This window comes from Homo sapiens, chromosome 20 (genome assembly GCF_000001405.40).
Source record: "Homo sapiens chromosome 20, GRCh38.p14 Primary Assembly".
In the NCBI taxonomy this organism is placed as follows: domain Eukaryota; kingdom Metazoa; phylum Chordata; class Mammalia; order Primates; family Hominidae; genus Homo; species Homo sapiens.
Window position 1 is genome coordinate 3,226,322 of NC_000020.11, and position 20,260 is coordinate 3,246,581.

The 20,260-nt window shown below is 58.7% G+C and overlaps 2 protein-coding genes across 21 annotated transcripts in view, besides 3 other annotated features; one reads left to right on the forward strand and one right to left on the reverse strand.

Moving 5' to 3' along the window:
* The window catches only part of ITPA (inosine triphosphatase), a 23,385-nt gene extending 22,257 nt beyond the window's left edge, over positions 1-1,128 (forward strand). The window contains exon 7 of the mRNA NM_001324240.2: positions 362-1,128. Coding sequence (NP_001311169.1) covers positions 362-367 — 6 coding nt within the window. The 3' untranslated portion in view covers positions 368-1,128. The remainder of the gene's footprint in view (positions 1-361) is intronic.
* On the reverse strand, positions 1,096-13,238 carry SLC4A11 (solute carrier family 4 member 11). 20 transcript variants are annotated; one of them, XM_017028096.2, is made up of 21 exons: positions 12,774-12,869; positions 11,572-11,722; positions 11,223-11,267; positions 8,421-8,573; positions 8,247-8,296; positions 7,762-7,993; positions 7,600-7,681; positions 7,193-7,316; positions 5,009-5,227; positions 4,828-4,921; positions 4,612-4,737; positions 4,411-4,524; positions 4,194-4,326; positions 3,866-3,939; positions 3,203-3,455; positions 3,025-3,131; positions 2,774-2,942; positions 2,517-2,690; positions 2,191-2,386; positions 1,938-2,107; positions 1,096-1,535 (listed from the first exon to the last, which is right to left on the reverse strand). In XM_017028096.2, the coding sequence occupies exons 3-21, from the start codon at positions 11,251-11,253 to the stop codon at positions 1,466-1,468; spliced, it is 2,571 nt and encodes an 856-aa protein (XP_016883585.1). In that variant the 5' UTR covers positions 11,254-11,267; positions 11,572-11,722; positions 12,774-12,869; the 3' UTR covers positions 1,096-1,465. The 20 variants fall into 20 exon arrangements, 17 of the variants coding, with proteins under 17 accessions (XP_016883585.1, XP_047296498.1, XP_047296496.1 ...); NR_135000.1 differs by lacking the exon at positions 11,572-11,722 and having other exon boundaries at positions 3,203-3,385; positions 12,659-12,869; XM_047440542.1 differs by lacking the exon at positions 11,572-11,722 and having other exon boundaries at positions 2,774-2,892; positions 3,203-3,385.
* Positions 3,532-4,314: an enhancer, noted in NCBI's record as "H3K27ac-H3K4me1 hESC enhancer chr20:3210499-3211281 (GRCh37/hg19 assembly coordinates)". NCBI's record gives its function as "activates a minimal SCP1, AML or CMV promoter by ChIP-STARR-seq in naive H9 embryonic stem cells {active_cell/tissue: H9 hESC(naive)}" and the evidence as "EXISTENCE:reporter gene assay evidence [ECO:0000049][PMID:30033119]".
* Positions 12,679-12,858: a silencer, noted in NCBI's record as "silent region_12616". NCBI's record gives its function as "represses an Ori minimal core promoter by ATAC-STARR-seq in GM12878 lymphoblastoid cells {active_cell/tissue: GM12878}" and the evidence as "EXISTENCE:reporter gene assay evidence [ECO:0000049][PMID:35858748]".
* Positions 12,959-13,118: a silencer, noted in NCBI's record as "silent region_12617". NCBI's record gives its function as "represses an Ori minimal core promoter by ATAC-STARR-seq in GM12878 lymphoblastoid cells {active_cell/tissue: GM12878}" and the evidence as "EXISTENCE:reporter gene assay evidence [ECO:0000049][PMID:35858748]".

The window sequence follows — 20,260 nt, forward strand, 5'->3', positions numbered from 1 at the left end:
AGTCTTCTGGGTTGACTGTTGTGCACAGTGAGAGCGGAGGAAAACGTTTTGAGTTGGTTTCTCCACACTCGCTACCCGTCCCCAGACAGCAGGGTGGAGAGCATGCTCATACCCACCTGGATTGGTTCTCGGGGCCCTGGGGGCTCCTGATCTCCCACTCAGCACCAGGCTACCCAGTGTAAGGTGGCGTCTCATGTGGGCTTACGTTTCTCTAATTACCAAGGGGTCTGAGCACCTCTCGCTACTCCTGTTACGGTTGGGCCTCCTTCTTCCCCTGTTCACGGCCTCTGCCTCTTCTGTTGGGGCTGCTGTCCTTTGCTGGTTTGCAGGAATTCTTTGCATATTTCAGATATATTTTCAGTTTTAGATGCAGCCAATCTCTTCTGTCGGCCAACTTAGTCCATGGGGCATGTGTCAAGCCAGTCCAGGAGGTGATGTGAGCCCCAGGTGTTCCTGCTGACCACTGATGCTGCGCACCCGGCACTCCCCTGAGCCTCAGAGCCATATTCCCTGTTGTCGGCTGCCATTGGGAGACCCTGACCCACCAACAAATGAGCAAGCCAGAAACACTGCACCTTCTCCCTCCGTCAAACCATTCCCACCCCGTGTCCTGCCGTCGGCAGTCCTCCCACCTCCCTCCATCGCCACCAGTGCTGCCCCTGCCCTGTAAAATCCAGGATCCGCACAACAGATGGGATGGTTCACAAGTGCTCCACACGAAGCCTCGGCCTCCCGGCAGGCAGCTTTCATCTGAGAGTCACAGGGCCCTTTGCTGTCACCCTGATGGTCCCTCCCGCCCCACTGCTCTTCACCAGCCACAGCGCCTCAGTGGCCCCAAGCCCTCGCTCCTCTGGACCCTTGCACATGCTGTTCCCAGAACGCTTTCCCTGCAGGTCCCTGGAGAAATGGCCATGCGAAGGCCTCCTGGATCTTCCATGTTTCACTGTTGGGCCAGCACCCACTGTGCGACGTTGGAGGTGACAGACCACAGGTGGCACTCCACAAACTCTGTCCCTTGCATTCCACTTCCCCAGGGAGGGCTTCCCCTCCCCAGAGTGGGGGTGGAGTGGCAGTAGCAGGGACACAGGTGGCACATAGGAGCCTAGAAACAGGAGCTTTATTCTCTAATGTGCGTCCAGCAAGTTCCTTACACAATCAAGGAAATGGTTTCTCTTTCAGGCATCGACTCTTTTATCAAAAGAAAATCCATCCTGCTCAGTCCCACCCACCCTGGGCAGAAGCTGCCCTGAGCAACGCTCTTGGCCTAAAGCTAAAGGATAATGGGAGAGGGGTGGGCACATACCACTGCACCCCTACAATGCCCAGATGCCCCAGGCCTGAGTCAGCCATGAGAAGGCGCAGCACAGAGCAGTCACCCACACACCTACACCTCCCCTCACAGCTCCAGAGCCAGCCTGGGAGGACGTGGAGGGCTGGCGAATGGGGCGTGGGCAGGGTCTGCCAGTCAAGGCCTGTGCTCAGCGTCCATGACATCCAAGTACTTGGCTTCAATGATTCGGGGCAGCAGGATATAGCTGTGGGGAGGGAGGGACAGGAGGATGAGCCTGGGTCAGAGAGAAGGCAGTGGACACCCATCCCAGCCCACCCCAGCCCACCCACAGGGCCAGGCTAGGCCTCTCCTCCCCGCCCGCCTACCCCCAGCCCACCCACTCTCCACTCCTAGACTGGAGCCCCTCCTGCCCACCACCCACCCCAGCCCGCCCACTCTCCACCTCTAGGCTGGGCTCCTCCTGCCCGCCAGCCTCCCCAGCCCGCCCACTCTCCACCCCTAGGCAGGACCCCTCCTCCTGGGCACCCACCCCAACCCGCCCATTCTCCGCCCCTAGGTGGGACCCCTCCTCCCAGCCGCTGCCCCAGCCCGCCCATTCTCCACACCTAGACTGGGCCCCTCCTGCCCACTGCCCACCCGCCTGTACCGGATGGGGATCATGGCGATCATGATGAGGGGAAAGATCATCTTCATGTAGGGCAGGGAGCTCATGCCGAAGGCACACAGCAGCAGCAGCTGAAGCACCTGCAGGCCCGTGAAGTAGTGGATCTTCCTCTGGGGCACCCTCCGGATGTAGTGTGTCGGGGGGTACGCAGTCTGTGGGCGGCAGGGACCGGGTGTGGGCAGGCATGGGGCTGTGTCCCCACCCACGCCACTCCCTCGCAGGGCCAAGCGCTCACCTGCTCCTTGAGCAGCAGGGCCACGCGCTGGACGAGCTGGTTGCCATCGAGGGAGGTGAGCGCGATGTAGAGGAAGAGGCCATAGAGCACGGGCTTGGGGATCCACTGAAGCGGGACCGGCAGCAGCAACAGGGACAGGCCCACCAGGACGCTGGCGCCCAGCGAGGTCAGCCGCGTCTCCTTCACGTTCACAATCCTGCGGTGGCCCGAGCCGCGAGTGTCACCTCTGCGCCCCTGTCCACAGGGCCTCACTCCTCCCTATGTCCCATGTGGCCAGAGGCTCCCCACTCCTCAGGGTCCACGGCTCTTGCCAGCCTCACACTCACGTGTCATAGATGTGTCCGTTCTCCACACGCTCCTCCACTAAGGCCAGGGCTCGCACGTGCAGCGGGGAGTGGGGGTAGGCGGCATGGATCCAAGGCAGCCCAAACAGAGACAGCCCTGTGTTGATGATGGCGAGGAGCAGGAGGTCCCAGTGGTAGGCAGTGCCCTTCACCAGCCTGCAGCAGACGGGCACTCGTGGACAGAGCCCCACAGCAGAGGCCCGGGCCCCGCCCACCCCACCCTCACCCACCCTCCACACCTGTTCTCCGGTGCATTCACCAAGGCGGCCACCAAGTTCTGCTCGATGAAGAAGAGCATGGACAGCAGGAAGCCGAGGCCCATGGCACCGCTGACGGCCCTCAGGGACAGCGACTGGATCTGCGCCATCGCAAAGGGGCTCTCGCTGGGGTTGTAGCGGAACTTGCTCACTGCAGTAGGGGACAGGCTACTGCTATGCCTGCAGCGCCTGGGGAGCTACCCCACGTCACCCACCGCCCGGCCCCAACTCACTCTCGATTTCCCGGAAGCCATGGGAGCTGATGAGGGAGAAGGCGAGCACCGCGATGGGCAGGGCGCAGTCGGACAGGATCTCTCGCACGCAGGGGTGCAGGTAGGGGCTGGGGACAGCAGGTGCATGAGCACAGCCTTTGACCCATGCGGCCCCTCCCCTCCCCATGCAGCCCCTCACCTCTTCTTGAATTGGTAGAGGGTGTAGCCCAGCCAGAGCGTGCCCAGCATGATGAGGAGGCTGAGCACGGCGGTCGCCTGGCCTGAGTGTGTGGCCGAGGGCAGCTCCGTGGGGCTGGCGAGGAAGCTGGCGTTGAGGGCAGTGTGGAGGCTGGCGTTGAGGCTGGCGCCGAGGCCTGACAGGCTGACAAGGGATGAAGTCCTTTTTGTGTGATAGTCGTCCAAGTAATGCCCATAGTAGTACTTCCAGAAGACTGTGGACACACACCCACAGGCCTCAGCCCTCTCCAGCGTGTGGCAGGGGGAGGCCCTGGAGGGAGGGGATCTCAGGGAGAAAGGGCTCCAGGGGGAAGGTGAGGGGACCCTGCCGACGTGCCCATGCACCCACACTCCTGCCCACTGTCCCTGTCCCATCTCTGACACCCCATCACAGTCGGCCCAGTGCCTCTGCCCCCACGGCTGGTCCCACCTGGGGCGGCCCCGTCACCCTCCAGCGTGGAGGGCTCTGCCCTCTGCCAGCCCAAGGCTCCCAGAGCACCGCACCCTTGATCACGGGCACACACTCAGCTTGAGCCAGTCCTATGTGCCCCCAGCCAGGGGCAGTGCAGAACCTCCCATCTCGGCTGAGCGCCCTGTTCAGCAGGTGGCCCCCAGCCGCACTCACTTTTAACCGTGCCCTTGACGGCATCCAGCACAAACGTGATGGAAATGAAGAGGGCGATGATCTCCTCCGTCGACCTGCCAGGAGGCCATGAGCCTCATCAGAGTGGGTGTGGTCAGGGGGCAGGTGGGGGAGGCCTCCCTGAGCCCCTGCACAGTCCCCTGCCTCCCCCTGCCAGGAAGAAGGCCAGGGCCCCAGGCCTTGCCTGAGCCCACCCCAGCCCCTTGGGGCAGCAATATGGTGGGGGCACCCCCACCACCCTGGGGTTACAGGGGGCTGAACCAGATCCCAAGCCTTGAGGGTCCCAGCAGCTCACGGAAGGGCCAGTCACCTCTTGAAGAGACTCATGACCAGGCTGAGGTTGAAAAAGGCATAAAGCGCAAGGAAGAAACTATTCCACAGGCCCGTCCATGCGTAGAAGGAGTTGAAGTCCAGGTCATAGTCATCACAGATGACACGAATCACTGCAGGCAGGGGGCAGGGCGGGTCAGGGCCCGGCAGGAACCAGGGGTCTCAGGCACCATCTCCCGCCTCAGCCCCCACTGCACCCTGGATGTAGAGCGCCAGGGGCGCGGTGGTCAGCAGAATCACCAATGGCTGCCCAGAGAAGAGCGCGTAGAGCAGGCCCCCGATGCTCTGCCCGGCTATGGTCTTCTGCACGTCTGTGGGGGTGCGGAGGTCAGGTGGGCGCCGCAGCCCAGGGCCCAGCCCAGCATACCCCCACCCACCGCCCACCGCCAGCCCCTCACCGATGGCCCCGTCTGTGTTCTCGTCATTGAGAGACCCGAAAGCGATGGTGGGCAGGAGGCAGGCGAAGTAGAGGAACAGGGTGGTGGTGATGTATTTGCCCACAGCCTTGTTTTTCCCAATAATGCCTAGGAATGGGGGATGGGAGAGAGGGTTTGCTGGGGATGCAGGACAGGCACACGTGTGGGCCCAAGGCCTGGAAAGCAGAGGCCACGTACCATCAGTGAAGTCCAAGGGGTACAAGGGGAACCTGCGTGCGATGTCCTCCCGGATGCCCTTCCCAAAAGGGACAAAGTCCTTGCACTTTGGGGGCTGGAGGAGAGGACAGAGCGCCTGTTAGCCCTGTCCGGCCCATGCCCCCGCCGACCCTGCCGGCCCCCGCCGGCCTCTACCCTGTACCTCTGGGTGTCTGTGGGCAGGGAGGGAGACTGTGCTGCGTTCCTTCGTTCTCGGCGCCACTGGACCGTGGCTCACCATGGTGAGCAGCTGTCTCTGATGCACCAAGGCCTCCTTGAATTCCTCCTCTGTGCGGGTCTCCAGGAGCTTCTGGCGGAAGGCGATATCCGAGAACATGGTGGCAAACGTGCGCGCCACCTCCATCGCAGTCTTAGTGCTTTTCTAGGGGTGGAGGATGGGAGTCACCCCTAGAAACAGAGGAGGCCCTGCCCGGGCCGAGCAGGTGAAGGTGCTCTCCCCATGAACTGGCAGCAGGTTTTTTGTCTGTTTGTTTTTTGTGTTTTTTTGAGACAGGGTCTCACTGTCACCCAGGCTGAGTGCAGTGGCACACTCACGGCTTATCGTAGCCTCGACCTCCCGGGCTCAAGTGATTCTCCCACATCAGTCCCCTGAGTAGCTGGGACCACAGGCACGCACCACCATGCCAGGCAATTTTTAATTTTTAACTTTTTGTAGAGACGAGGTCTCACTATGTTGACCAGGCTGGTCTCAAACTCCTGGCCTCAAGCAATCCATCTGTCTAGGCCTCCCAAAGTGCTGGGATTACAGGCACGAGCCACTGTGCCCAGATGCTGGTAGCAGGTTTTATTCCACAAAGTTCAGGCATTAGTGTACTCTGCCATGATTTCAACCAGGTCAGCAGATCACCGCAACTACCATCGATCTATATTTTTGTTATAAACTCATGATTTCTTATAAACTCAAGATATTACTTTTGTCCTAAGCAACAAAAGTCTGTGTGATCACAGATAATGAAACCACAGTGGAGAAAAATGTTTCCCCAGCTACGTTTCCCCAGTGGTATTTGCACTGTCTGCTGGTTTGACTTTCAGAGAGGGTCCAAGCCCGTCAGGCACTCTCTCTCTCGCCCGGCCAAGGTGAAGCCCGTCCGTGAACCATGAACTCACGAACTCAGTGTCCAGCCCTCATCACAGCAACCTGCTCACCTAGGGGCAGTGTCTGCCCGTCTGTTGCTCAAAGCTCTAGTCCCGGGGCACTGTGCATGTTTGCTGTAGAAGAGGCCCGTGCCTGGCAGGGCATGGTGGCTCACGCCCATAATACCAACTTTTTTGGGAGGCTAAGGCAGGCAGATCACTTGAGGTCAAGAGTTCAAGACCAGCCTGGCCAACATGGTGAAACCCCATCTCTACTAAAAATACAAAATAATTAGCTGGCTGTAGTTTTTGGTGGTGGCGGGTGCCTGTAGTCACAGCTACTTGGGAGGCTGAGGCGGGAGAATCGCTTGAACCTGGGAGGCAGAGGTTGCAGTGAGCTGAGATCACACCTCAACATTCCAGCCTGGGTGACAGAGTGAGACTCTGTCTCAAAGATAAATAAATAAAACAAACAAATAAACAAATACAAAACCCCAAAAGAACTAGTCCATGCTCCTGAGGAGGAGCCCAGTGTCGGGCTGGGGGATCTGCCTCAAGGCACCAGGCTTTAACTCAGCTCTGGGCTATTGCTCCTTCTGTGTGGGCACCCTGCTGGGGGCCACTCCTTCCAACCCAGGGGCTGCCCTTCCTCTCACACCAGCACAGTTGCATTTGTGGAGGTTCCCGCCATGTCTGAGATCCCTGAGAACCCCATTTGCACACAGAAGGCCAGGGGCAGGAGCACAAGAAGCTAAGGGAAGCTGAAGCTGAAGGCGCTGCCAAGGCCTTGGGAGGGGTCCTGGCAATCATCTGTTGAGACTTGTTAAATCCTTTTCCTTAAAAGACTCCCGAAATTGTATCAGTTCCGGCTCCCACAAAAAGCATGGTGTCCCGGCCAGGGGGTGTGTGGCCCAGGAAGGAGCAGGGACCCTCAGCTAGCAAATCGCAAAGTCAACCAAGTCAAAGAAGGGCTGGCGGGCGGGCAGGCCAGAGAAGGCCGCGTGTTTGAATAGGGATAGTGGTCAAAAGCGTTTCCTTTCAGTCAAGGAAATACGAACTTTTCGGCAATCCCCGGGGACATGAGGACTTGCCGGGCCTAGCAACATGTTTCTGACACACCCACAGGGCCGAGGCGAAGGGGAGGGTGAGGACCAGGCCTTCAGAGGCCAGGACATGTGGGAGGGGACCCCAAGCAGAGGGCGGGTAACCCGGGGCCCTCCTTCTTCCCCAGGACACGGCACTACCCACTCACCATCTTGGGTGGGGCCAGCACCAGGATGACGAACCGAACCTCACAGGAATTCTCCCCCCAGTTCTGTGGGCGAACCAGGCGGCTGATGCACACGTGCCGCTTCTGTAGGGCCTTCATGGTACAGCTGGCAGGGGCGGGGAGGACACAGTGCACAGTTGCACCCCAGGGAGCTGGGGCTCCCCGACCCAGAACCCCCTCGACCTTGACCCCTGGCGACCTCTGCTAGGGAGGGAAAAGAAGAGCAAATGGGACGTTCCTTGGCAGTGCTCCAGCCCTCTTCTCCCAAGTTGGTTGGGCCGCCAGAGCCCCAGGACTCACAGGTGGGCTGGCCTCTGCAGGGCACAGGGGACATGGGACACCCAGTTCCACTGCGACAAGAAGGGGGGCCAAGTGGCCTGGCAACTCACATGATGCAGAGCCACGACTGCTGGTACCGCACCCCTGTCACTGTGGCGGTGACCCCTTGGATGGTATCTGACAGCAGGTGGACTGAGGAAAGAGTGAGGGGGAGGGTGGTGGGTCAACAGCCCCTCCCAACGCCCCCGCCCGGGCCGGGAGACCGGCCTCACCTTTACCCCGCATGGGTGCCCCGGCATCGGTGAAGAGCATGGCCATGAGCAGGTCCAGGTTGCAGTTGGGCTCATTGTTGTCAGGGTCCCTGGCGAAGCGGCGAAGCATGGTCCGCAGCACGTTATCCAGGGAGGTGGCCGTCTCGTTCAGGACGATGCTGGCCTGCGCCAGGAAGCCATCTAGGTCGCGGTGCGCACGGATCTCTTCCTTGAAGTTCTTTAACTTCAGGTACTGAGGGGACCCCAGGGACAGAACCACACGGGCCCATGTATGAGATGCTGTCACTGCCTGGTCCCTCCCTCCCAGCCAGCCGCAGCAGTCCAGCCCCCAGCCCCCAGCCCCCAGCCCTGGGCTGGTGCGAGCTCCCTGTTGAGCTGCTCCTGGAGGCATGGGAAGAGGGGAGCAGCGGGAGGATTCTCAGGGAAGCCATCACCTCAGCCCCCAGGTAGAGGCCCCAGGACCACCTGCAGGACAGGCCATTCACCTTTCGGGAGGTGTGCAGGAGCACACAGCCACCGGAAGTCGCTTCATTCTCTGCCGGAGAAAAGCGGGGAGGGCTCAGGGTGCCACCCTCTCCTCAGGTCTTTCTTAGTAAGGCGAGTCACACCTGCCCAGTCCCGTGCCTTCCCCCAGTCTGCCCCTGCTGCAGCCCCCATACCAGTGTTGGTGGCCTGCATCTCAAGGTTGACATTGACAAAAAAACGGATACTCTCGCCAGACACGATGGAGGAGTTGGCAGTGTCGAAGGCCTCATCCCCCAGGATCTCCTCTCGGGCTTCGAAGGTGTCATCTGTGTCACACTTGTAGTAGCCTAGAGACCCCCAAGAGCAAGAGGGCCTGGCTGTTAAAGTGCCACACACAGGAAGGAGGGGCTCCAAGCCCAGGGAGCAGGGACCCCTGGACTGTCCCACTCTCGGGCCGTGGTGGGAGAGGCCATCCCATAGGCGAGGAAGGCAGCTTCTAGTCCTGCCCCAGCCCCACACAGGACATGGCAGCTGCCACAAAGTGAGTCTCCAGCATTCCCTAGCCGCTGAGACCAGGACCCTGCGCAGCTTTGACCCTTCAGCGTGAGAAAAACATGTCCACTCCAGACACATTGGGGCAGGCACGGAGTGCAATAATGCAGATGAGACTGCCTGGCCCCTGCCCTCCCAAAGTAGGGAACACAGGGAAGGCAGAGAAGCTGCAGTATCCACGTCTCTCTCTCTCTCTCTCTCTCTCTCTCTCACACACACACACACACACACACACACACACACACACACACACACGCTGCCTTGTGGGCACAGGGTCTTAGAGCTCCGCCTCCCCAGGAGGGCAGGTGGGGAGAAGCATCGAGGCTGAGAGACCCAGGACAGGTATCAGACAAGGTCTAGGGAGCAGGAAAACCAGGGAAACAGAGCCAGGGGCTGACAGGGGAGAGGACCCCAAGGCCTCATGTCAGCCCTGCCCCCATCGTGCTCCTCTTCATGTTCTGGGGGCCCTGGGTAAGGGCACATGGAGAGTGAGGGTGTGTAATGGCACCTGTGGGATGTGGGACCCCAGAGGTGAGAGCCTGCTCCCCTTGGTCCTCAATTCCTGCAGCTGGCCAGCAGCACACCCCTCTTCCTACAGGAAGATTTCCTGGTAACATGCAAATATTCCTCTGCCCTGAGCCCTGCAGTGGCTCCCTGCAGCCTACAGATCACAGCCTGAGCCAGCCCTGCTCCCCCTGCCCTGACCACTGGCTCCTCAGGCCATCCGGTCAGCACCCTAGGCATGCAAGGTCCTGTCCTCCAAGCTGAGGGCTTCCCTCCCTGGAGGGCCTTTTTCAAGACTCACTTGGAACCTCCTCCTCCAGGAAGTCCTCCTAGATCCCTGCCTCACCCCTGGCCACTGGCAGCCCTTCCTGTCTTGTGGGTCCCCTAAGGTTCCTCACTTGTAGGTACTCCCAGGAAAGGGGCCCTTATAGCCCAGACCCCACTGATGCCTGACAGACACCTGTGCAGAAACAAGGATGGGTCAGCAGCACGCCTGCACCTGCCAGGGAGTGACTCACCCTGACTCACTTCTACTCCCGCCGCCAGTTTCCTTGGCACATCCCAGGCCCTGTTCCCCCAGTGTCCTGAGTTTAGCCTGGGCCCCTTCTGGGTAGGAAGCCCTAGTGCCTCCTGCATCAAAGTCCCCAGGGACTGGTGACTCCCAGGCCCAGGCCTGCACTACCTCCAGAGCCCAGAGAAGAAATATTAGGTCAAAAGACATCCTTGCCTTTGGGAGGCCAAGGCAGGCGGATCACGAGGTCAGGAGATCGAGACCATCCTGGCTAACAATGGCTAACATGGTGAAACCCTGTCTCTACTAAAAATACAAAAAGAAATTAGCCGGGTGTGGTGGCGGGCGCCTGTAGTCCCAGCTACTCGGGAGGCTGAGGCAGGAGGCTGGTGTGAACCCAGGAGGCAGAGCTTGCAGTGAGCCGAGATCACACCACTGCACTCCAGCCTGGGCGACAGAGCGAGACTCAAAACAAAACAAAACAAAACAAAACAAAACAAAAGACGTCCTCACTGCTTTGGTTCTGGAGCTCATGATAAACTCCTTCCTCCCCGGGTCAGGCTTGCCTTGTTTAAACTGTCTGGTTCCCCTGGCCCGAACTTGTCCCAGCCTCCCCTCTGCCCCTCAACCAGCACCCACTAGTCCCCTCCACTGCCCTTCACACAGCCCCGTTCTTCCCCCATTCTTCCCCTGATGCCCTCAGCTCTACCTTAGACTTAGTGCTCAGGTCCCCTAGATTAAGGACCTGCCCAGCTGACACTACCAGGTTCCTGGGGGGCTCCTGCAATGCCAAGTCCTAGTCCCAGCCCCATACGTAACCTGCCCACCAGCAGCCTAGCACACAGAGCCCCATGTCCTGAGGGCTCTGGGTAAGGGAACATCAGCCCTGTGTCTACGCACTGCTCTACAAACAACCCTCGAATGGTCAGGTCACTCATGGGGCTAGGCACAGGACACAGCCTGAAGCCAGCCCAGAGACATGAGGAGGAAGACAGCTGGACTGGTACAAGCAGGGACAGCAGGAAGGTGCCCGAGGGACTGCAGCACAGAGGCCTTATATTTCTTTAAAGAGACAACGACAGATATTCCCTCCAGGGCTGGGTGAGGACAGAGGGACAGGGGCACACAGAATTCTTGGCCCAAGGCTAGTCAGATAACAGGCCATTGTCACAGAAAACCTTGGGTAAGAATCCCAGAGGGTTCACCTGGTCCAAGTAGCCCAGGAGAATGGGCAGCCTGCCCTCTCAGGTCCACGGGGGATCCGCCCATGTCTAGCTTCCCGAAGAGTGGAAGCCAAAAGCATTCCAGCACTAGAGTGGCCCAGATAGGCGAGCAAAGCCACAGGACTCTGGTGGGTAGGCTATGCACCCTGGAGGCTTTTGCCCGACAAGCTCTCTCTGCACACACACACTCCCCGAGAGGTACTCACTTGAATCCTCGAAGTATCCATTCTGCGACATGGTGGGAGAGTTTTCTGCAAGGGAAGCAGAAAGGTCACCAGCCCCATGGACCAAGCCCTGGACCTCCTGTGTGCACCTGTCTCCCCGCCCCCCGACCTGGCTCATTCCTTCGCTCTTCCGAGGGATGCAACCCACGCCACCCTAGGGAGAAAGGGAAGCAGGGGACAGTGCTCGGGAGGGGGCCCCATAGCAGGGGAAGCCAGCCTTAATCTCAGAAATTCAATTGCTTAGCCCATCTGCTAGGGGCTGCCCAGGCGGGCCAGAGGCGAGGAGGAGAGACGTTCCAGGGATGTCTTCCCACCGAGTTAGTACCAGTACCATGTTCGCTAATCCAGGTTTTCCTGAGAAAACCCTGCCCCGCTGCAGCGAGAGGAAGGGACCGGGCCCGAGCGGGCCTCTCCCCCTCTCTCCTCGGATGCCAAGGCGGGGGATCTCTCTGCACATCCCTCTTCTCACTCTCAGACCGGTCCTGGGGGCCATAAACGCCCATTGCAGGCGCAGTTCCCCCGACCCCCGTCACGCGCCCCGGGTCACACGGGGGCCGACAGGCAACGGTCTCCAGTCCTGGGACCGCGTCCCGGCCGCCTGGAAGCCAGAGCCGTTGGTCCAAAAGGGAGAACAATTGGGGGTGGGAGGAGTATCTGAGGGACACATGGGTCGGGGGAGGCTGCGCCCTCCCTGGGCCGGTCCCCGGATGGTCCCGGCTGTTTGTGCCTCGCTGTCGGAGGAAGGAAGCGACAGGAGGGGCCGCGTGCACGAGAGGAAAGCGCCTCCAGACTCGGAGACCCCGGGGGTCGGGGCGCAGGATGTGAATGCAGGCGCGGGGCGGGAGCCGGGGCTGCATCCTGAAGTGGGGGGCGGGGGCGCTGGGGCGCGTCCCAGGCCGTGGGCGACGAGGGTCTGGGAGGGTTGGGCCGGTGCACACTCCGCTTCCGTCCCGGCGGCCCACGTGCAGGTAAAGGGTCGTACAAACCTGGGTCCTGGCGGGGACCCAGGGCTGGCCCTCCCGTGTCAGAGCAAGGGAGAAACCGCTGCGGCCGCGCAGGGCACGGTCAGGGGTCCCGGGACTCCCAAAACTCCAGGGGTTCCGGGGCTCCCACCGCGGCGCCGGACGGGAAGATGCCCGGGCGGAAGGTAAAATGAGACCTTCCGAGGCGGCGGCCCGCCAGGCTCCCAAAAGCTCGGCGCTCGGGGCGCTGGGAGCCCCACAGCTCCGCCCTGCCCACTTTCGAGCTCCCCGCCCTCGACCCGCTGCATCAGCTGTTCAAACCTGGTAAGAAATTCAAGACGGCGACAGCAGAGCCCTAATGAAACCAAGCGCGCGGTGGCCGCGAAGCCGCGCCCGGGCCTCCCGCACCCGCGCCCTCCTCCCCGCGGCTGGGAATCCCGCAGCCCTCTCGCCCACCGGCCCCGGCCCGCGCAGGCAGACGGCATCCGCGTTCTCCCCGGGGTCCCCGACGGGAGACGGTGGCGGAGACCCGGGCGGCCTTCCCGCCGCGCCCCCGGGTTCAGGCACCCACCGCACGGCTGCAGATGGAACACGCGCCTGGTGGCCGCGGCCATGGCACACTCGCGCACTCACGGCCGGGCTCCTCACGCGGCGCTCCGGCGCTTCTGGACCCCAAACTCGGCGACTCGGGCGGGCCGGCGGCGGGAGCCGGCGACACACCCCCACGCCGCGCCTGGGTCCTAATGCCGCTCAGACGCCGCGCCCGGGCGCGGTAGGCAGAGCTGCCGAGGGCTGGGACCCGGCCGCCCGCCCCGCGCCCTCACCCGCGGGAGGCTGCTCCAGCCGGGCTGGGCTGCTCCCCGCCGCCCGCAGCTGCTGGGCCAAACCGAGTAGACCCGGCTCCTTCGAGCCTGTGCGCGCCGGACCCAGCAGACCCAGCGTCGCGAGTTTAGGGGCTGGACGGGGCCGGGGAGCTTCTGGGAAAACGTTCGACTGCGCCACGAGCCCACCGAGCTGTGCGACTGAGGCAGACCCCGGGAGGGCTTCCCCCGCGTCCGCTTTAAGTACGCGGCCGGCCCCTGTCTCCTCCTTTCGACCGGGGACCTCCGCAGGGCCACGCCCGCTGGCTGCCCCGCCTCCTGCATTTATCCCGGTAGCTCCGGCCGCAAGTCCTTCTCCTCCTCCTCCAGGAAGCGCGCCCCGACTGACTAGACGGACCTCCGTGCATTCCCCGGGCTACGCCCTCGCCCGCTGAGACGGCGCTCTCCGAGCTCGGCTGCTTTGGGTTTTCGCTGCGAGCCTCGCCAACTTATCTGCCAGCCTCTTCACGTCCTCGGCCTTCTATGAGGTCAAGGTCATGGTTCGCCCCCTTTTTCCTTCCCCAAATGGCCCTTGCGCCCTGTCCCCTTTCCTGGACCGGCTGCGACCCGCCCGGGGACGCGCCTTTTCGGGGCGCTTAGTCTCCTGCGAGTAGGGCGTGTGCGCGTGTGGGTGCGCGTGCTGCGATGCGATCCGGCAAATGCAGCTGACGAACCCCTGGCCTGATCCACGGTGGCTCCCAGTAGAAGGCTCTACAGCCCTTGGAAACGGAACACGCAGCTCCGTAAAGCGCTAACCAACCTCCCGACCCCTCCGGCCGCCATCGCTTTCCGGCTCAGCCGCGCTGGGACGGAGTCCTCGGCCACTGTGCCCTAACCATGGTAGAGGAACGGGGACAGGCCGGGGCAAGCCCACCTCTGCGAAGGAAGGGCTTCTGGCGCGTTGGGGAAGCCTCATGCATAGATTGGGTGAGTAAGGCTGGCCCAGTTCTCCTCCCGGCAAGATAAGAACGCATTAGGAGGGAAGCGCTGGAGTGCTCCTCTTGGCGACGGATGGCCTGGGGCTCTGCGACAGACTGAGTACCCCACCCTCCCCCAGCGCGACTCCAGGAGGCCTTGTGGAAGATCCCAACACCATGACCTGCAACTGACTTGGGGCTGGCCACATAGTATTTTAGCAGGGGTGACTCTGGAGAGACACCAGGTCATCCTGCGCACCCCTTGGGACCTTTCCTAGACGCCCTCCAGCTAGAGCTCCAGTCCAGGCACTGACTCCCGGGTGGCGGGTGGAGGCTGAGGAAGAGCTGAAGGACACAGGCGGATGTCGCCCCCGGAGCATGGCTGCATAGGTGGCATGCAGGCTGGATCCCTGAAAAGCCACCTTGCCACCCCCAGTCTCCCCCATCTGGGAATGCCTTGGCTTCTGCACCTGCTCCCAGCAGCTCCCAAACACCTGGTCCTTCCAACCCACTTGTTCCAGGAAAGCCTCTGGGATGGAGGGCGCTTCCCCTTACCACAGTCTCCTCAGCGCTCCTCAAAGGACCTAACCCCTCAGCCCACTGAGGAAAGAGGAGCCCATGACCAAGCCGCCCCTAGTCGGCTATGGGCCCCCTCTGTCCGCTCCCTGACCGTCTCTCAAAGGAACTGGCACTGAGCCCTTCTCTGCTACACCTGTGCTCTGCCCCTGCGGTTCTGTTCCCTCGGCCTTCCTGGAGGGAACCCCTGAGGCCCACACGCCTGCTGCCTCCAGACTGACCGTTTCAGAGGCTGTTTCCTTCAGTCCTCCCACCTGCCTCCTGTCCTGTGTAGATCGTCTGACGCTGAAGGCAAATACTGGTGCCCCAGATCTCCTGTCCTGTGCCCCACTGGGTCCTTACATAGGCAGGCAGGTTGAGGGACCCAGACGCAGGCACCCACTTTCCCTCTCATTCCCTCCCTTGGGGTCTCAGACTTTACTGGGCTGTGGACTTGAAACTGTAACCGCTGGGTTCCACAAGGCGCACTTAACAGTTTTCTGCTGTCCTCCCCTGATGCCACTTATCTTGCCTGTGGATTGTAGAATCTGGGGTCTGAAGTAAATGTATAACATCTCATTTTTAGGCCGGGCTTGGTGGCTCACACCTGTAATCCCAGCACTTCGGGAGGCAGAAGTGAGAGGATTGCTCAAGCTCAGGAATTCGAGACCAGCCTGGGCAACACGGTGAAACCCCGTCTCTACTAAAATTACAAAAACTTAGCCAGGCATGGTGGCATACGCCTGTGGTCCCAGCCACTCAGCAGGCTGGTGTGGGAGAATTGTTTGAGCCAGGGAGGTCAAGGCTGCAGTGAGCCAAGACTGCATCACTGCACTCCAGCCGTGGTGACAGAGAGAAACCCTATCTCAAAAAAAAAAGGGCTCATTTTAAAAACAAAACATTCCCCGGCCGGGCGCGGTGGCTCACGCCTGTAATCCCAGCACTTTGGGAGGCCGAAGTGGGCAGATCACAAAGTCCAGAGATGGAGATCATCCTGGCAAACCAACATGCTAAAACCCCCTCTCTACTAAAAATACAAAAAAATTAGCTGGGCATAGAGGCGCATGCCTGTAGTCCCAGCTACTCGGGAAGCTGAGGCAGGAGAGTTGCTTGAACCCGGCAGGTGGAAGTTGCAGTGATCCGAGATCGTGCCACTGCACTCCAGCCCAGGCGACGGAGCGAGACTCCATCTCAAAAAAAAAAAAAAAAAAATTTCCCTTAAAGCCCCTTGCCCTCCGGGTGCTGCCTTATCCCTCAGCTACATTTAAGAGGAAGTTTCTCCAGAGCTCCATGCCCCTCCCGCTATGTCTCTTCAACCGACTCATACCTGTCTTTTGTCCCCACCACACCACTGAAACTGCTGAGACTCCATCTCAAAAACAAACAAACAAAACAAAACAAAAAACAAAAAGTAAACCAGGTGCGGTGGCACATACCTATAATCCCAGCTACTAGGGAGGATGAGATGGGAGGATCCCTTGAGCCCAGGAGTGTTGAGACCAGCTTGGGCAACATAGGGAGACCCACCCATCTCAAAACAAACAAAAAACCCAAAGGAATGTTAAAGGCAGATATCTCCATGGAGGCATTTCAGGCCTATGACGCCCTCCCGAAGCTCTCTTCTCCATCCTCCATCCTCCATTCCACTCAGGCTTTCTGGTCTAGCCTAATGGGCATCCCAGCCAGATACTCCCGACTCCCCTCTGCCTCCTTCCTCTCACCCTGGATGGCCACATTTCACTGAGTCATTTTATTTCTTTGATTTTTATTTTGTTGAGGCAGAGTCTCACTCTGCCACCCAGGCTGGAGTGCAGTGGCACAAACACGGCTCACTGTAGCCTCGATCTCCTGGCCTCAGGCGATCCTCCCACATCAGCTGGGACTACAGGTGTGCACCACTGTGCCTGGCTAATTTTTTTTTTTTTTTTTTTTGAGAGAAATGGGGTCTCACTCTGTCTCACAGGCTGGAGTGCAGCGATGCAATCTTGGCTTACTGCAACCTCCGTCTCCCAGGTTCAAGTGATTCTCCCGCCTCAGCCTCCCCAGGAGCTGGGATTACAGTCATGCACCACCATGCCTGGCTAATTTTTTTTTTTTTTTTTTTTTTGAAACAGTTTTGCACTGTTGCCCAGGCTGGAGTGCAGCGGCGCCATCTCGGCTCACTGCAAGCTCCACCTCCTGGGTTCACGCCATTCTCCTGCCTCAGCCTCCCGAGTAGCTGGGACTACAGGCACCAGCCACCATGCCCGGCTAATTTTTTGTACTTTTAGTAGAGATGGGATTTCACCCTGTTAGCCAGGATGGTCTCAATTTCCTGACCTCATGATCCGCCTGCCATGCCTGGCTAATTTTTGTATTTTTGGTAGAGGGGGTTTTGCCATGTTGGCTAGGCTGGTCTTGAACTCCTGGCCTGAGGTGATCCACTGCCTCGGCCTCCCAAAGTGCTGGGATTACAGGCATGAGCCACTGTGCCTGGCATTTTTTTTTTTTTAATTTTTGTAGAGATGGGGATCTCACCATGTTGCCCAGGCTGGTCTCAAGCTCCTGGGCTCAAGCGATCTTCCCACCTCAGCCTCCCAAAGTGCTGGGATTACAGGTGTGAGCCACCGTGCCCAGCCTTATTTTTATTTTTTTATATTTATTTATTCATTAAGACAGGGGCTTGCTGTGTCGCCCAGGCTGGAGTGCAGTGGTGAGACCACTGCTCACTGCAGCCTCAACCTCCCAGGTTCCCGCAATCTGCGCACTTCGGCCTCCCAAATTGCGATTACAGGTGTGAGCCACGGCACTCAGCTGAGTCCTTTTATTTCTACCTCGGGTCTGCAGCATCCTGGCTGCCATAGCCTTCCTTGGACCCTTGGCAGGCATGGCTTCCCATACCTCGCAGCCAGCCGCTCTCTCTGAAGTCACTGGGATTTTACCAGCCTCTTGGGGCTCCCGCTGCCTTGACCGGTGTTCTCAGCCTCTGGTAGCCCTTCTCCAGCTGCAGCTGCTCCGCCTCCTCGCTGTTCCTGGGGAGGAGAGGTGCTGTTCCCACGCTCTCTCTCTATGATTGAGGACTTGTCATCTGTAATGGTTAGTTATTTATGGGAGCCCTATGTCCAGCTCTGAACCAGGCCAAGTGACTGGGCTCAGCTGCCCACTGAATCAACTGCCTGATACTCCCTGGTGGTCTAACTGGACCCCAACAATCATGCCAGTCTCCTGTTCCCCTCCAAATATTTTTAATTTTTTTAGACAGGGTCTTTCTCTGTCACCCAGGCTGGATTACAGTGGCGCAATCATAGCTCACTGCAGCCTTGACCTCCTGGGCTCAACTCATCCTCCCACTTCAGCCTCCCAAGTAGGTGAGACTACAAGCAGGTGTCATCACGCCTGGCTAATTTTTTTATTTTCAAAATTTTTGGAAAAGACGGCCTTGCTGTGTTGCCCAGGCTGGTCCTGAACACCTGGCTTCAAGAGATCTCAATCTTTGTTTAGACTGTCTTCCCCCACGCCATAACTCTTCCTGTCCCGTCAGCTTTTGCTTTCTATCCGTGGGAGCCCAGCATGAGACTGGTTGTCCTGGTAATGCTGCAGGGTGCTGGGAGGGGGAACATAGCCTCCACTGGCCTCCTCTCTTTCCTGGGGGGCATCTCCCGGCCCCTTGGGTAGGTGGAAGGACAACCCTTTGGTGCTCAACAAACACAGCAATAAGCCCTCTCTCAGTTGCCATCTACCCCTACTGAGAGAAAGATCCAGGCTACTATAACATAAGGGCATCCAGGAGGGCAAGGAGCCCCTGCCCTGCAGAGGGTCAACAAGGACCTGCTACCCTCAGGATGGCATCTGTCTGCCCCGCCCCTCAGTCCATACTCACAGTCCAAAGCTAGCATGGGCAGGAGTGGGCTAGGGCTCTTGGCTCACTGATTCTAAGAGCTCATGAATTCCAGGCATACAGACTGTCAAGGTCTTGTGGCAGGCATGCAGCAGACCACTGGGCAGGAAGATTCTGGGGCTGCCCCACTGCCCTCCTGTCAGGCCTCTCTGCCCTCCACAGCCCAGCCTCTCACAACCAAACACTGGCTTCCTTCCCCACCCTCACCTACCCCCAGGCCCTACTCCATCAAAATCCCATCACCTGCTACCCAAGGAAGAATTCTACCTGGTGACCCTAAGGTTCTCTGGGTAGACTGTCACCTCCTGGCCATCCTTGGCCAATCTGTGTCCCTCATGTCTTCCTCACCCATGGCTCTCCTCGCTGGTCCCCATCCTGCTCAGGGGCCTGGATGTCACCATTGGGGGCTGATGTGGCCTGAGACCCCATCCAGGTCACCCTCCTCTCCAGCCCCAACTCCTCCCAGGAATTTGGAGGCACAGGGAAGAGAGAGGTGGTGGGGAGGCCCAGGGCAACACCCTGGAGCAAGACCTCCAGCCTCTTTAGATCTCTGATCGTTGTTATCTATAAAACAAATAAGCTGGAATGGAGTTTTCGTAGCTAGAAAATTCCATGAATTTTGTCTCAAACTGAAATAATCTTATCAAACCATCTTTCCAGTTCCTGTTGTCCTTATTTCTCTATTTGTACATTCATCCAGGCATGAAATTTCAGAGTAGAGATGAAAAGTTTCTTAAACATGTCCAGTCATGAGAGGAAAACAAAAATCACACTTTATTGCTGCAGGAAAAGCAGTAGTAATTTGTGGGATAAAATGAAAATTATTCACACTTTATTTGGTTAATATATATATAAATATATTTTACAGATTTACAGTCATTTATGAGTAGGACATAAAATTTATTGAATCTGATGTAATTTTTTAAAAAACCAAACTCTTTTAGCTGGTCAATTTAGGAATGCAGAGGCCTGGGAAAAACAGGAATAATTTGTGGATAAACAAATTTATTTTTCATCAAATTTTTAGAGATGAAACAAAAAAAGTATTTGGATTTGTTTCAAAACGTTGGGTTTTTTCCACTTGGGCTTTTTCCACTTTTACCTCGAGGTCATCTCCTTAGCTGTTGCCTAGTTAGTCATGGTCTTGTCAATTGTTCCTTCAAAATGGCTCTCCAGTTGGTCCACTTCTCACCTCCACCCACGTGGAGCAGCAGCCCATTCCCCACATCACAGTCTATATGACCTTTCTTTCTTCTTTTTTTTTTTTTTTTTTGAGAAGGAGTCTCGCTCTGCCACCCAGGCTGGAGGGCAGTGGCACCATCTAGGCTCACTGCAACCTCCACCTCCCAGGTTCAAGCAATTCTCCTGCCTCAGCCTCCTGAGGAGCTGGGATTACAGGTGCCCGCCACCACGCCCAGCTAATTTTTGTATTTTTAGTAGAGACAGGGTTTCACCATGTTGGTCAGGCTGGTCTTGAACCCCTGACCTCGTGATCCACCCACCTTGGCCTCCCAAAGTGCTGGGATTACAGGTGTGAGCCACCACCTCCGGCGTTTTTTTTTTTTTTTTTTTTTTTTTTGAGATGAAACCTCGCTCTGTCGCCCAGGCTGGAGTGTGATGGCACGATCTCGCCTCACTGCAACCTCCGCCTCCCGGGTTCAAGTGATTCTCCTGCCTCGGCCCCCGCGAGTAGCTAGGATTATAGGCACCTGCCACCACGCCCGGCTAATTTTTGTATTTTTAGTAGAGACAGGGTTTCACCATGTTGGCCAGGCTGGTCTAGAACTCCTGACCTCAAGTGATGCGCCTGCCTTGGCCTCCCAAAGTGCTGGGATTACAGGTGTGAGGC

Bases quoted from the DNA above. Each gene is read 5' to 3' on its own strand.
- SLC4A11 (NM_001174090.2), bottom strand. From the start codon at position 11,743: ATGGGCGTTTATGGCCCCCAGGACCGGTCTGAGAGTGAGAAGAGGGAT. The intron at 11,268-11,571 runs GTACTGGTACTA...CTTCCCTTGCAG, and splicing joins AACCTGGATTAGCGAACATG to AAAACTCTCCCACCATGTCG. The intron at 5,228-7,192 runs GTGAGTGGGTAG...CTCCACCCCTAG, and splicing joins TGCTGGCCCCACCCAAGATG to AAAAGCACTAAGACTGCGAT.